This window comes from Homo sapiens, chromosome 1 (assembly GCF_000001405.40).
Source record: "Homo sapiens chromosome 1, GRCh38.p14 Primary Assembly".
Lineage (NCBI taxonomy): Eukaryota > Metazoa > Chordata > Mammalia > Primates > Hominidae > Homo > Homo sapiens.
Genome location: NC_000001.11, coordinates 23,424,842 through 23,437,900, shown reverse-complemented (window position 1 = coordinate 23,437,900; position 13,059 = coordinate 23,424,842). Strand labels below are relative to the sequence as shown.

At 53.0% G+C, this 13,059-nt stretch overlaps 1 protein-coding gene and 1 long non-coding RNA gene across 10 annotated transcripts in view; one reads left to right on the top strand and one right to left on the bottom strand.

The window, feature by feature from the left end:
* ASAP3 (ArfGAP with SH3 domain, ankyrin repeat and PH domain 3) overlaps window positions 1-9,338 on the top strand; it is a 56,069-nt gene extending 46,731 nt beyond the window's left edge. For 6 of the 9 annotated variants that reach the window (XM_017001687.1, XM_047424481.1, XM_017001689.2 and 3 more), the window contains 13 exons: window positions 429-477; window positions 581-771; window positions 857-990; window positions 1,247-1,341; window positions 1,873-2,050; window positions 3,283-3,368; window positions 3,532-3,647; window positions 4,208-4,275; window positions 4,369-4,476; window positions 4,629-4,824; window positions 5,983-6,205; window positions 6,776-6,866; window positions 7,971-9,338. In XM_017001687.1, the coding sequence (XP_016857176.1) occupies window positions 429-477; window positions 581-771; window positions 857-990; window positions 1,247-1,341; window positions 1,873-2,050; window positions 3,283-3,368; window positions 3,532-3,647; window positions 4,208-4,275; window positions 4,369-4,476; window positions 4,629-4,824; window positions 5,983-6,205; window positions 6,776-6,866; window positions 7,971-8,045 (1,610 nt within the window). In that variant the 3' untranslated portion in view covers window positions 8,046-9,338. Of the gene's footprint in view, window positions 1-428; window positions 478-580; window positions 772-856; window positions 991-1,246; window positions 1,342-1,872; window positions 2,051-3,282; window positions 3,369-3,531; window positions 3,648-4,207; window positions 4,276-4,368; window positions 4,540-4,628; window positions 4,825-5,982; window positions 6,206-6,775; window positions 6,867-7,970 lie in introns of all 9 variants that reach the window. The other 3 variants (XM_017001688.3, XM_017001685.3, XM_011541755.3) reach the window with 1 other exon arrangement.
* On the bottom strand, window positions 8,918-13,035 carry LOC124903875 (uncharacterized). The gene is made up of 3 exons (XR_007065535.1): window positions 12,740-13,035; window positions 11,641-11,723; window positions 8,918-10,189 (listed from the first exon to the last, which is right to left on the bottom strand). It is a non-coding gene; the product is annotated as an uncharacterized LOC124903875 (long non-coding RNA).
* Between the last annotated feature and the right edge of the window lie 24 nt (window positions 13,036-13,059).

The following is a 13,059-nucleotide window of genomic DNA, read 5'->3' as shown; positions in this document are numbered from 1 at the left end:
CAACAGTTGGGAGCTGGTACAGGCTAGGGGAAAGGGGAAATGGGAAGCAGGGAGACCAGACAGGAGGCCTGGTCGCCCAGGAGGAGACCAGGAAGGGCCCAGTGGGGTGGTGACAGTTGGTTCAGAGGATGCCCTGCCTCAGAGCTGGGTTCTCTGGGGTTCCAAGCCCTTTGAGACCTCGTCTGAGCCTGGAACCAGGGCTTCACGCAGAGGGAGCTTTGTTGGGATCCTACTTCGGAGGCCAGTTCTGAGAAACTGCCCCTGGTGCTGGCCACTGTCATTCCACTCCCTTCCCACTCCTAGCTTGAGAGTCCGACTTGTCAGGGACACATCTCCATGTGGCCCCAGCGGCTTTGGTGGGGGCTCCCTGGGCTCCGGGAAGGCCAGCAGCATTTCTGTGGGTCAGAAGCCCCCTTCTCTCCCGACAGACAACCGGACGTACCACTTTCAGGCAGAGGACGAGCACGAGTGTGAGGCGTGAGTGCCCCCTCGGCCAGCCCGGCCAGCCTTGTGGGTGGGGGCCGGCGGCCCTATCTCTTCCCACTTGACATCCCCATCCCACCCCGTTCAATCTCCGCAGGTGGGTGTCAGTGTTGCAGAACAGCAAGGACGAAGCCCTGAGCAGCGCCTTCCTCGGGGAGCCCAGCGCTGGCCCGGGGTCCTGGGGGTCCGCCGGCCATGATGGGGAGCCGCACGACCTCACAAAGCTGCTCATCGCGGAGGTGAAGAGCAGGCCTGGGAATAGCCAGTGCTGCGACTGCGGGGCTGCAGGTCGGTCCCCGGGGCCGGGGCAGGAGGGAGGCTTAAGTGGAGGGGAGGGGCTGCACCTCCAGGCTCCAGCTGCTTTCCTCTGCAGACCCCACGTGGCTCAGCACCAACCTGGGCGTGCTCACCTGCATCCAGTGCTCGGGCGTCCACCGCGAACTGGGCGTGCGCTTTTCGCGCATGCAGTCACTCACCTTGGACCTGCTGGGCCCCTCCGAGTTGTTGGTGAGGGCGGGGCGGGGCCTGGAAGGGGCCAGAAGCGGAGTTAGGGGTGTAGTTTCATCCGGGGGCGGGGCTTGCAGGTTGTGGGTGGGACCTGGCCGAGGTGGGCTGGGACAAGCCAGGTAGCGGGTGGTCAGGGGCGGGGCCTGAACCGGGAGGGCGGCCGAGGGGCGGGACTCTGGGGGCTTGGAGCTCCACCCTATGCAGGCTTAACCGCCCGGTCTTACTCCGCCCCACGTCTATTTTCCTACGACTCCAGCTGGCCTTGAACATGGGAAACACGAGCTTCAATGAGGTCATGGAGGCCCAGCTACCCTCACACGGCGGCCCTAAACCCTCAGCTGAGAGTGACATGTAAGGGGATTCTCAGAGAGAGGGGCACCCTGCCTAGGGGATTCTGCCTCCGCAGTGTCCAGGGTCGTAGAAAAGTCTTGGATCAGAAGTCTGGGGAGGCTGGGCGCAGTGGCTCACGCCTGTAATCCCAGCACTTTGGGAGGCCAAGGCGGGCGGATCACTTGAGGTCAGGAATTTGAGACCAGCCCGGCTAAGATGGCAAAACCCCGCCTGTACTCAAAATACAAGAATTAGCTGGGCGTGGTGGCACACGCCTGTAATTCCAGCTACTCAGGAGGTTGAGGCACTAGAATTGCTTGAACCCTGGAAGCAGAGGTTGTAGTGAAACGAGATTGCGCCACTGCACTCCCTCCTGGGCAATAGAGTGAGACTGTCTAAAAAAAAAGCCTGGGGAGAGGGGAGCCTCAGATCTAGACGTCTTCAGGACATGGTTCTGGAGAAAAAGAGAGCTGTATCTCCTGTGGGAGGGCCCCAGGGATCAGCTGGGCAGACACGGTCCATGCTCTGAGATCCTGTGGTTGTTTTTGGTAGGGGCACCCGCAGGGACTACATTATGGCCAAGTATGTGGAGCATAGGTTTGCACGCCGGTGCACACCTGAGCCTCAGCGACTCTGGACAGCCATTTGCAACAGGGACCTCCTGTCGGTACTGGAGGCCTTTGCCAATGGGCAGGACTTTGGACAGCCGCTGCCAGGGCCTGATGCACAGGTGAGAACCCCTCCAAGGGCCACTTATAACCCACCTGTCTAACATATTCCCCAGTTCTTCTCCAGGACCAGCTGTTACTCCCCTCCACCCCACCTCTGACATCTGCTCAGATCTCACCCATCAGAGTGGTAAGTGGGAAAGAGCACAGCTTCAGTCAGGCAGACCTGGGTGGGAATCCTGGCTCTGTTTTTTCCTAGCTGTGTGATCTAGGGCAGGTTACTTCTCTGAGTCTCATTTCCTCATCTATAAAAGGGGTTAATAATAGCACCCACGGTGATGAAGTGAGAAGTCATGTATATAAAGGGCTTAGTGTACAATGGGCATGCAATAAACGTTAATATCTTTTTCTTTCACCTAAATAGCCCTGAAATATAAGGGCATGTCAGTTTAGAGCCAGGAAGGCCACATTGCTTTGGCTATTCCAAGAACAAACACATGAGCATGGAGAAAGGATATCAGAGACATTTGAAAAAGTAAATCAACAGGAGTTGCTGACTGATTCGACATCAAAAATTGGATGTTGGCTGGGTGTGGTGGCTCACGCCTGTAATCCCAACACTTTGGGAGGCCAAAGTGAAAGGATCACTTGAGCCCAGGAGTTCAGAATCAGCTTGGGCAAAATAAGGAAACCCCCATCTCTACAACAACAACTAAAATTAGCTGGGTATGGTGGCACACACCTGTGGTCCCAGCTACTCAGAAGGCTGAGGTGGGAGGGTGGCTTGAGCCCAGGAGGTTGAGGCTACAGAGAGCTGTGATTGCGCCACTGCTCTCCAGCTTGGGTGACAAAGCGAGACCCTGTCTCAGAAAAACTAAAAACGGGTATCTTTGAACTGTCTGTCTGATATCTTGGTGGGCTATCCAATGGGCAGTGCAGCACTTAGGTGAGGTAAGAATTTGGAACAGCCTGCACATGTGTGATAGTTGAAAATGTGAGGTTGCTGAGGTCTTGGTGGGGAAGTGCGATCAGGGAGAGGAGCCGAGAGCTGAGAAAGAAGTTTGGGAAACACTTGTTGGGGGCAGAGGAGGAAGAGCCGTGAATGGGAACAATGGGAGAATGGCCCTTCACCTTCCTCCCAGACATGAGGCTCTGCCCTTGCAGTCTCATCTCTCCAGGGTTCTGGCAGCTTCCTATGGGGGGATAAGGGGTTAGCAAGAGTTCAAGAGGGAAATACTGGGTTGGAGGCAGGTGCACTGGGGGGGGAATCTCAGAGGTGTGGATGTGTTTTCAGGCACCTGAAGAACTCGTCTTGCATTTGGCTGTCAAAGTCGCCAACCAGGCTTCCCTGCCTCTGGTGGATTTCATCATCCAGAACGGGTGAGAGCCTCCCTGCCTGTCTGTCTGGCTCCTCACACTCCCTCTCCTTTCCTTCCTCTTCTCCCATTCTCTTCCCTCCTTTCCCCTCCCACTTTTTCCCCTGACTTTGATCCCCTCATTGATCTGTTCCCCTTCCTTTCTCCCTGAACCCTCCTCTCCCCAGTGGTCACCTGGATGCCAAGGCTGCTGACGGGAACACGGCTCTGCACTACGCAGCACTCTACAACCAGCCCGACTGCCTCAAGCTGCTGCTGAAGGGGAGAGCTTTGGTTGGCACAGGTGGGGCTTGAATACCTCCTCCGTCAGACTCCTATTCCTGACTACCCCTTATGTGGACTTCCGATGGTCTCGGGCTCTAATCCTGGCTTGCTTCTGACCACCTCTGTGATCTTAGGGGTTTGTCATTCAGCTCTTGAATTTCAGCTTCCTCATCTGTAAAATGGGAATAATACCACTGACCTAGCAGGACTGCTAAAGAAAAAAGAAAATAATATTTCTGGGAGTACTTAGGCAAATAAATATTAGCTAGATCTGAATGATAATGATTGTAATAGCTAATATGTATTGTTTAACATATGCCTGGCAATGGGACAAGTGCTTTTTGTATGTTAATTAATTGAATCCTCACAACCACTTCATCAGGTAGTTCCAAGTATTATACTCATTTCATAAACAATTTTGTCCCAAAAGGTTATATAACTTGCCTATGGTCACATAGCCAGAAAATGGCAGAGCCAGGATTCAAACCCATACATTCTGATTCCAGAGGCCCGTCTTAATCTCTAAGCTGTAATGTTTCTTTGACTATGACCATGAACCCTGACTTTCCCCGCTCACAGTAAATGAAGCAGGCGAGACAGCTCTGGACATAGCCAGGAAGAAGCACCACAAGGAGTGTGAGGAGCTGGTGAGGACTCGGGGAGGCAAGGGGCCCCTGACTCTTTCTCTCTCCCTGCTGAGCCCCCAACCCTCTGAACCACCAAGCCTTTGTTTTTGGCAGCTGGAGCAGGCCCAGGCGGGGACCTTTGCCTTCCCTCTACATGTGGACTACTCCTGGGTAATTTCCACAGAGCCTGGCTCTGACAGTGAGGAGGATGAGGAAGAGAAGGTGGGTCCCAGCCCTGTCCCTCAGGCCTCTGGATGGCAGAAGGAAAGAGCCAGATTGGGCCTGGTGTGTGTTGGCGGGGGCGGTGAGGCGGGGGGACAGGGCTACACCGGAGGAACCAGGCTGTCCTCATCCTCAATCTTTTGCTCTGGCAGCGCTGCTTGCTGAAGCTCCCGGCCCAGGCTCACTGGGCCAGTGGGAGGCTGGACATCAGCAACAAGACCTATGAGACTGTCGCCAGCCTGGGAGCAGCCACCCCTCAGGGCGAGAGTGAGGACTGTCCCCCGCCCTTGCCAGTCAAAAACTCTTCTCGGACTTTGGTCCAAGGGTGTGCAAGACATGCCAGTGGAGGTACAGTTGGATGCCCAGATAAATGCTCACCATGCCATTCACAGAGGACCTGTATATGCTGGGGCACTGAGCTGAGTGCATATGTTAGTCCGTACTATCCTTATGATGACCTCCCAGGAAGGGGTTCTCATCTTCCCCTTACAGATAAAAGAACAGAGGTGTTAAGTCACATGTTTAAGATCCCACAGCTAATAAGTCTCTGATGTAGGATTCAAATCTCAGCCCATCTTATTCCAAATTCCTCAATGCTCCACTTAACAAGAGAGAAACGAGTTTATTGAGCATCCCCTTCATCCTGAGTCCTTTGAGGGCTACCAAGACACAGTCTAGTAGGGGAGATAAAAACTGGAATGCAATTCATTATAATACAAGGCACAATGTGATATAGAATGTAAATCCCAAAAGGACAAGGACTTTGAGTGTTTCATTGAATACTATTTGTCCAGTGCCTAGCGCAGAGCCTGGCTGTTCTCAAGAACTATTTGTCGAATGAAGGAACAGACTTGTTGTGGGAGGTTGGGGCAGTTGGAGAGGGAGCATGTCCTGCTGGGATTGGGGGTTGGTTTAAGAAGGCTTCCTGGTGAGGATAGCATATGAGTGAACCTGAGGGATGAGCAGGAGAATCCAAACTGGGACAGGGTATGAGCACAAGCAAAAAAGTGAGTCAGCATGGCCCTGGCCACCGCGAACAAAGGCTTCATCAGTTGAAGGAGAATACTGGACAGGTAGATGGGGAATGGACTATTGGCAGAGAACCAGAAGAGATCCTAGGCCAGATGTGGTGGCTCGTGCCTGTAATCTCTGCACTTTGGGAGGCCGAAGCAGGCGGATCACCCCAGGTAAGGATTTTGAGACCAGCCCAGCCAACATGGTGAAACCCCATCTCTACTAAAAATGCAAAAATTAGCCAGGTGTGGTGGCATGCACCTGTAATCCCAGCTACTCTGGAGGCTGAGGCAGGAGAATCTCTTGAACCTGGGAGGCGGAGGTTGCAATGAGCCGAGATTGCACCACTGCACTCCAGCCTGGGTGACAGAGTGAGACTCTGTCTCAAAAAAAAAAAAAAAAAAAATCCTAGAGGCCAGAGACTGCTTTGAGGTTGGGCACAGAGCAAGTGATAAAGAAAAGCTTTATCATTTCTGATGTTTCTGATTCCAGATCGTTCTGAAGTCTCCAGCCTGAGTTCAGAGGCCCCTGAGACCCCTGAGAGCCTGGGCAGTCCAGCCTCCTCCTCCAGTCTGATGAGCCCCTTGGAACCTGGGGATCCCAGCCAAGCCCCACCCAACTCTGAAGAGGGCCTCCGAGAGCCCCCAGGCACCTCCAGACCCAGCCTGACATCCGGGACCACCCCTTCGGAGATGTACCTCCCCGTCAGATTCAGGTTGGTGAGGGCCCAGCTGTGCAACCAGGGCAAATCCCCTGACTTCTCTGAGCATCCATTGATTTCCACACCTCTAAATAGTACCTGCCTAAAGACTGGGTCACACGCCATCTCTGGGCCCATCACTTATGCAGAAATGCTGAACCCTGGGACCCCTTCCCCCTTCACACACTTGCTCCCAAATCCTGCATGGAGAGCTGAGGAGGAGCCAGGGATCCTCCCTGCTGATGTTGGAGTAAAGTAGGCTTAGCCCCCTGTGTGGCTTATTCTAGAGGCTCTCAGTGGGGTCTTCACTCTGTCCCCACCTCCAACCCAGGATCCAGTCTTCTCCCTTCCATACAAACCCATTCAGTCTGGAGTTTGGGGAGAAGTAGACCTGCAGATATCCACAGAGTCTTCTGGAGGTCAGTTCCAGCCTTCTTGGGCCTGTGATGGACCTGGCCTGGGGGCCTTGTGGACTCTACCCACCCATCCTAAGCCCCCAGACTGGCTCTGTTCCTGAGCCCTTTCTCCCCACTCTGAGGGGCTCTCTGGACATGAGGGTCATGTTGGCCTTTCCCTGCCTTCCAGCTCCGAGAGCACTCGCTCCTATCGGCGGGGGGCGCGGAGCCCTGAAGATGGTCCCTCAGCCAGGCAGCCTCTGCCCAGAAGGAACGTGCCGGTAGGAACTCTGGGACCATGGTTTGAGGGGCGGTGGCAGGGTGCCTGGGAGGCAGAGTTAGTCAAGAGTAGGCGTATTGGGGTGGGAGACCTCCCCATGGTTGGGGTACAGATGGGCCCAGGCAGCCACAGTTTGGACAGTCCCTGTCCTGGTGCCCAGGTGGGCACGGTTTGGCCAGTCCCTGTCCTGGTGCCCAGGTGGCCACGGTTTGGCCAGTCCCTGTCCTGGTGCCCAGGTGGCTGCAGTTTGGCCAGTCCCTGTCCTGGTGCTCCTCTTTCCATGCTCCAGCCCAGGGCTGGGTGAAGCTGAGGAGAGCCCAGGCCTTGAGGGATGGCAGTGATCATGAGGCCCAAGCTCTGGCTTCTCCCCAGGGGAGGATGAGGAAAGTTGTGTTAGCCAGGCCAGTCGCTCAGAGAAGGCATCACTTCCCTGCAGAAGAGGCAGGATTAGGTGGCCGTGTACCAGCCCTTGTTTGCCTAACTCTCCCCTTGTTCATGAGTCTCCTGGAATCCACAGGGACTTTCAGATCCCAGGCATAGAGGGATGTGACAGGGACAGGGCAAGAGCTGTCATCCTTAATCCAGCTTCTCCCTGCTGAATCACCAAGTCTCCAACAATGGCATATATTAGTTGAACCTAGGAGTGGGCACAGATCAGAGCCAGTTGTGTTGGGAAAGAAGCCTCTTCTGTCCCTTGTTCCTCTGGGAATTCCTCAGAATGGCATTGGTTGTGTTGGGAGTCAGGATGGCAGGGGCAAAAGCTGGTTCTGTCTGGGGAATCGTCATCTTTAGTCCACCAGAGTTAGTCAGCAGACACAAATCTATGTCCATATTCTGGTTCCACTATTGCCCTGAAAACCAAGTATCCATCAGATGGCATTTAATTGATGCCTGTGATTGTGGTGTGTATGATAGCAAGAGCTTGGGCTTTAGAGTAAGGAGACTTTGGATAAGTGGCTTCACTTCCTCAAGCCTCAGTTTCTTTGTCTGTAAAATGAGAATAATTTAATTTATCTACAATAGGACAGATGTGAAACTGAGTGAGATGAACACCTGGTATGTTACAGGTGCTTTGAAAATGTCAGTTTCATCCTTCTTTCTGCAGGTTGGCATCACTGAAGGAGATGGCTCAAGGACTGGGAGTCTCCCAGCAAGTTCTGTGCAACTTTTGCAAGACTAGCTCCTTGCTGGCCCCCACATGCCCCATGCTAGGCCCCAATGTTCAGAGCTGGGACTTGAGCTCACAAAACTGGGGAGCTGAGACATTTGTTCTCTTGGATCTCACTCTCTCTGTCCCTTGTGCCTCTGTAGCTGGCCTTCTTCCTGCCACAGGCCATGCCTCTACCAAGGACACATGGCCTTTCCCTGTTAGGACTGATGGCGGTTCTTTCCTATCTCATTACCCGCTAGGGGCCTGGGAGCCCTGTGGCTGGATCTGAGTGCTCCTGAGCTGGCTTCAGCTGCAGAACTCTCAGTCCCTCATCAGATCGAGACTCTATTTCCCCCGTCAGTCTGGGGGCTTCACAAGGGCAGGAGAGCCCTCCATCACTGACTTCCAGATCAGGGACCCTGCCAAGTAGGGACTGTCTTCTCAGCCAGCCATTTATTAGTCTAATATTCCTTCACTAAATTCCAACTCTATGTCTGGACCTGTGTTAGGCACTTCAGATACCACACGAGTAAGACAAGGGCCCTGCAGGGGTGGTCCTTTGGTGGAAAGCTGGTCTTAAGGGTTGGGCTTGGGAATAGGCAGGGTCAGATTCCAGGGCATGGCTCTGGACTCAGCTGGTTTATACCTATATGACCATTACAATTGTCTACAGATCACATCCATTCTGGCTGGTCAACATGCATGCTGTACTGGCTGTTAAATAAAAATATTCTGAATGTCACTCCTTTTGAGGGACAGCACAGCCTTCCCTAGGCATTCTCCTATATTCCCCAGCCAAATTGTAGAGTCAGATGCACCCACATTTGCCTGTGTCCTTGATTTAGCAGGAAGGAAAGGAATAGTCAGGGTTGATGGATGCCCACTTCTCTTCTCTTTCTCTTGGTCAACTCAGGAGCCTTTTAGTCTGAGGGAATGGAGAGGCAAAGAAAGAAGGGAGAGTAATAGAATTGGGAGGGCAGAGACTTAAGGGTTCTGCTTCCCAGCCCTAGAAATTCTATCATTGCTCAGCCCCAATGAGAAAGCAGATACACCTAAGCCATCATCAACCACTAACATCTCAACTTGCCAGTTGCTGGGTGCTGGGCCCTGGCAGGAATGGGCCAAGCCAAGCAGGGGAGACTAGAGAGCACCAATGGCCAACACAGCTGCCTGGCTGGGGAGGCTGTGCTGTTTCCCCTGGAGACCTGACTGGTCTGTGGTTCCCACAGGAACAGGGTTGTCTTTTGAGCCCCCAGTGTCTGGTTTCATTCATCTCAGACTTGTTATTTCACTCATCTCTAATAAAGGATTGGGGGGTCAGTTTCCAGTGGTTTCATTTATGTGATCTAAAGAGCAACAGGGAGGGGAAAGGAATCTTGGGGCTTGAAATTCTTTCTCTGGACCTGGCAAGGGAGATGGCCTGATGTGGAATAGTGGTTTGCAACCACAGTGTTTTGCCCCGGGGAACTTCTGATAAAGCAGAAAACAGTTTTGACTGTTCCCAACTGGAGGATGCTAGTGGCATTTAGTGGACAAAGGTCAGGGATGCTACTAAACATCCTACGGTGCATAGGTCAACCCTCCCTAGCAATGCATTATCCAGTCCAAAATGTTAATAGTGCCAAGGTTGAGAAACCCTGGAAAGAGCACTGGACTAGGAGTCTGGAGACCTGAAATTCTAGCTCTCCCATGGTCCTCTGCCACTGTCTCTGTTGACTGCCCCTGAGACAAGGATTTGGGAGCAAGTAGCTTATCTGTGAAATGATCCCAGGAAGCATAATGAGGGAATAGAGAAATGAAACAGAAAGTCAAAGATAAAGAGCTGTGCGTGTTGGTGAGAACCTATACTCCAGCTACTCGGGTGGGAGAATTGCTTGAGCCCAGGAGTTCAAGGCTGCAGTGAGCCATGATGGCGCCACTGCACTCCAGCCTGAACAACAGAGCGAGACTCTGTCTCTAACTCTTGTTGGGGACCTGTGAGAAGGAGTATTGACTAGAACATGCCTTCAGGTTGTCCCATCGAGAGTGAAGAAATGATGTTTTCCACCAACTCTGGTTTCTTGCTGGTTGGGGGTGTCCTTTCTGAGGGCATCAATTTCCTACCACCCCAAAGCTCCAAATAGAGAAATGTGGGGAGCTGTCCAAGGTGTGTCCAGGAATTATCTTCCAGTGACCTGTAGGGTGGACAGGTAGGCAGAGGGGATATGATGGTATCAACAGGGTCCAACCCTGAGAGAATCATCACCCTCTTTAGGCCTCGGTCTTCCCATCTATACAATAAAGAGGTTGGACTCCATGTTTTCTTAGGGGCCTTCATACCCTGACATTCTAGGAGTCTTAACTTTTTTTTGATGTCGCGCATCTCAGGGTGGTGACTGGGTGGAAGTTTGAGAAAAATCTCTCTCTCTCTCTTTTTTTTTTTTTTTTGATGGCTCTGTCTCCCATACTGGAGTACAGTGGCACAATCAGAGCTCACTGTAACCTTGAACTCCTGGGCTCAGGCAAGCCTCCTGCCTCAGCCTTCCGAGTAGCTGGGACTATAGGCCCACGCCACCATGCCCAGCTTTTTAAAATATTTTGTAGAGACGAGGTCTCTCTCTGTTGCCCAGGCTAGTCTTGAACTCCTGGCTTCAAGCAATCCTCCTGCTTTGGCCTCCCAAAGTGCTAGGATTACAGGCATGAGCCACTGCTCCTGGCCTTTTTTTTAATAAGGCAATCCTAAGTAGCCTCAGGCTGCTGAGGTTGAGTCTCTTCAACCCAGAAGGGCTTGGCTGGGATTGGCCAAAAGGCCTCCCAGAGAATCCCAAACCATTAGAGTCTAACTTCCCAAATGTGACCGGCAGGCACTGCATGCTCAGGTCCCACCCACTGCCTCTCCCCACACTCCTCACCTCTGTGCTGCAGCCACGCCAATTTTTCAGTTCCTCCAACACTGTCAGGCAGGCCAGGCACCCTCCCATCCCTAAGCTTTGCACATTTGGAACTCCAAGAGGGGAGGACTGTTTTGTTCCTCTCTGGATGTCCAGAACAAGAACTACCTGGCACATATTAGGTGCTCCATAAATATATGTTGAATGCCTCTTCCTTTCTTCCGTGAACACTCTTCCTCCTCCCCTCAACGGCCACTGTGTACTTCAGCCCAAAGTTTAAACTTCGTTTCTTCAGAGAAGTTGACACCCTAAATAGTGCAGGTCCCCTCAAATGTGTCCTTAAGCTATCCTCCACTGCTTCCTGCCCTTCACCCCAGCTATGATAAATGCATTAATTGACTATGTCTGTTTTTGTTTAAGGTTTCTCTTGCCCATAGACTGAGTCTCAAGCTTTCTGGGACTGGGTCTGTCTTGTTCATTGCTTGGACACTCAATACGTATTTGTTGAATGGATGAAAAAAACCCACTCTGTCCTACCTTGATCCCCGTCACATAGCAATTAGAAGATAGGTGTCCACACCAAGCTGCCTCTGCGACCCAAGCTGAAATGCGGTTCTCTCAGGAAAATCAGGAGATTTCACTCGACACCCCAACCCCAGCTCCCACACACTGTGGACCACTTTTCATGCCTTCCCTCCAGGTTCCTGAGCCCCACCCCCATCACAGGAAGATCATTTTCTGTCCATTAAACTCACTTATTTAGCAAGAGAACTGGGTCTGCAGGAGATACTTGAAGATCATTGGAGATCATTCCACAGGAAGGCAGATCCCTGCATGGCTGGGGAAGATAGGCACAATTGTGTTTCCACCCCTCCACTAAGATGACTTCCAAACCCAACCCCACTGAGGGGATACTGGCCTGACCTGGCAGCCTTGCACCTGGATCAATATTTCTCAAAATTTGGTGCACTTAAGAATGAATCTCGGCGGGGTGCGGTGGCTCACGCCTGTAATCCCAGCACTTTGGGAGGCCGAGGCAGGCAGATCACGGGGTCAGGAGATCGAGACTATTCCGGATAACATGGTGAAACCCCATCTCTACTAAAAATACAAAAAAATTGGCCGGGCGTGGTGGCGGGCGCCTGTAGTCCCAGCTACTCAGGAGGCTGAGGCAGGAGAATGGTGTGAACCCGGGAGGCAGAGCTTGCAGTGAGCCGAGATCGTGGCACTGCACTCCAGCCTGGGCGACAGTGCGAGACTGCGTCTCAAAAAAAAAAAAAAAGAATCTCATCTGTAATTACAGCACTTTGGGAGGCCAAGGCAGGCGGATCGCTTGAGACCAGGAGTTCCAGACCAGCCTGGGCAACGTAGTAAGACCTAGTCTTTACAAAAAATTAAAAAATTAGCTGGGCATGATGGATGGCTCACGCCTGTAGTCCTAGCTACTCAGGAGGCTGAGGCAGAAAGGATCACTTGAGCTGGGGAAGTCGAGGCAGTGAGCCTGATTGCTCCACTCCACTCTGGCCTCAGCCACAGAGGGAGACCCTGTCTCAAAAAAATAAAAAGAATCTCCCCGATAAGCTCTCACTACTCGAGAGTGTAGTTCTGGGACCAGCAGCACCCCCAGCACATAGGAGCTTGTTAAAAATGCAAAGCCTTACTAACAAAACAGCCAGCAAAGGAAGTTTTAGGTAGACAGAGGCAAACAGGAGCCTGGATACACGTGGCATGCACAGGCCGTGTGCACGATGGAGTGAGTGCAGGTTAAAGCAGAGCTGGATTTAGTGATCTACACACACACACACACACACACACACACACACACACACACACACACACGGGATTCGAGCGCACCGAGTTGCCTCCACTTGGGCATAGGCGCGGAACTGTGTCCTCCCGCTTTGAGATGCAACGGTGCAGAGACGCGGGAGCCCAGAACGCTTCCCAGGGCCCCTGGGACACCCTCGGGCGCCCTCCGCGCCGCGACCGCCGCCTGTGGCCAGGTCACAGCCTCCCAGCTCGCCAGAGAGCCCTCCTTCCCAAATCTCTCTTCGGTCCCCCGGCGCCCCTGGAAGGGCCGGAGTTGGAGGGTCCCCTCTCTCAGCCTCGTCCCTCCCCTGAGGCCCGATCGGCCGGCGCGGGCAATCAGTGCCCGGGCAAGTCCTTGAAGTCTA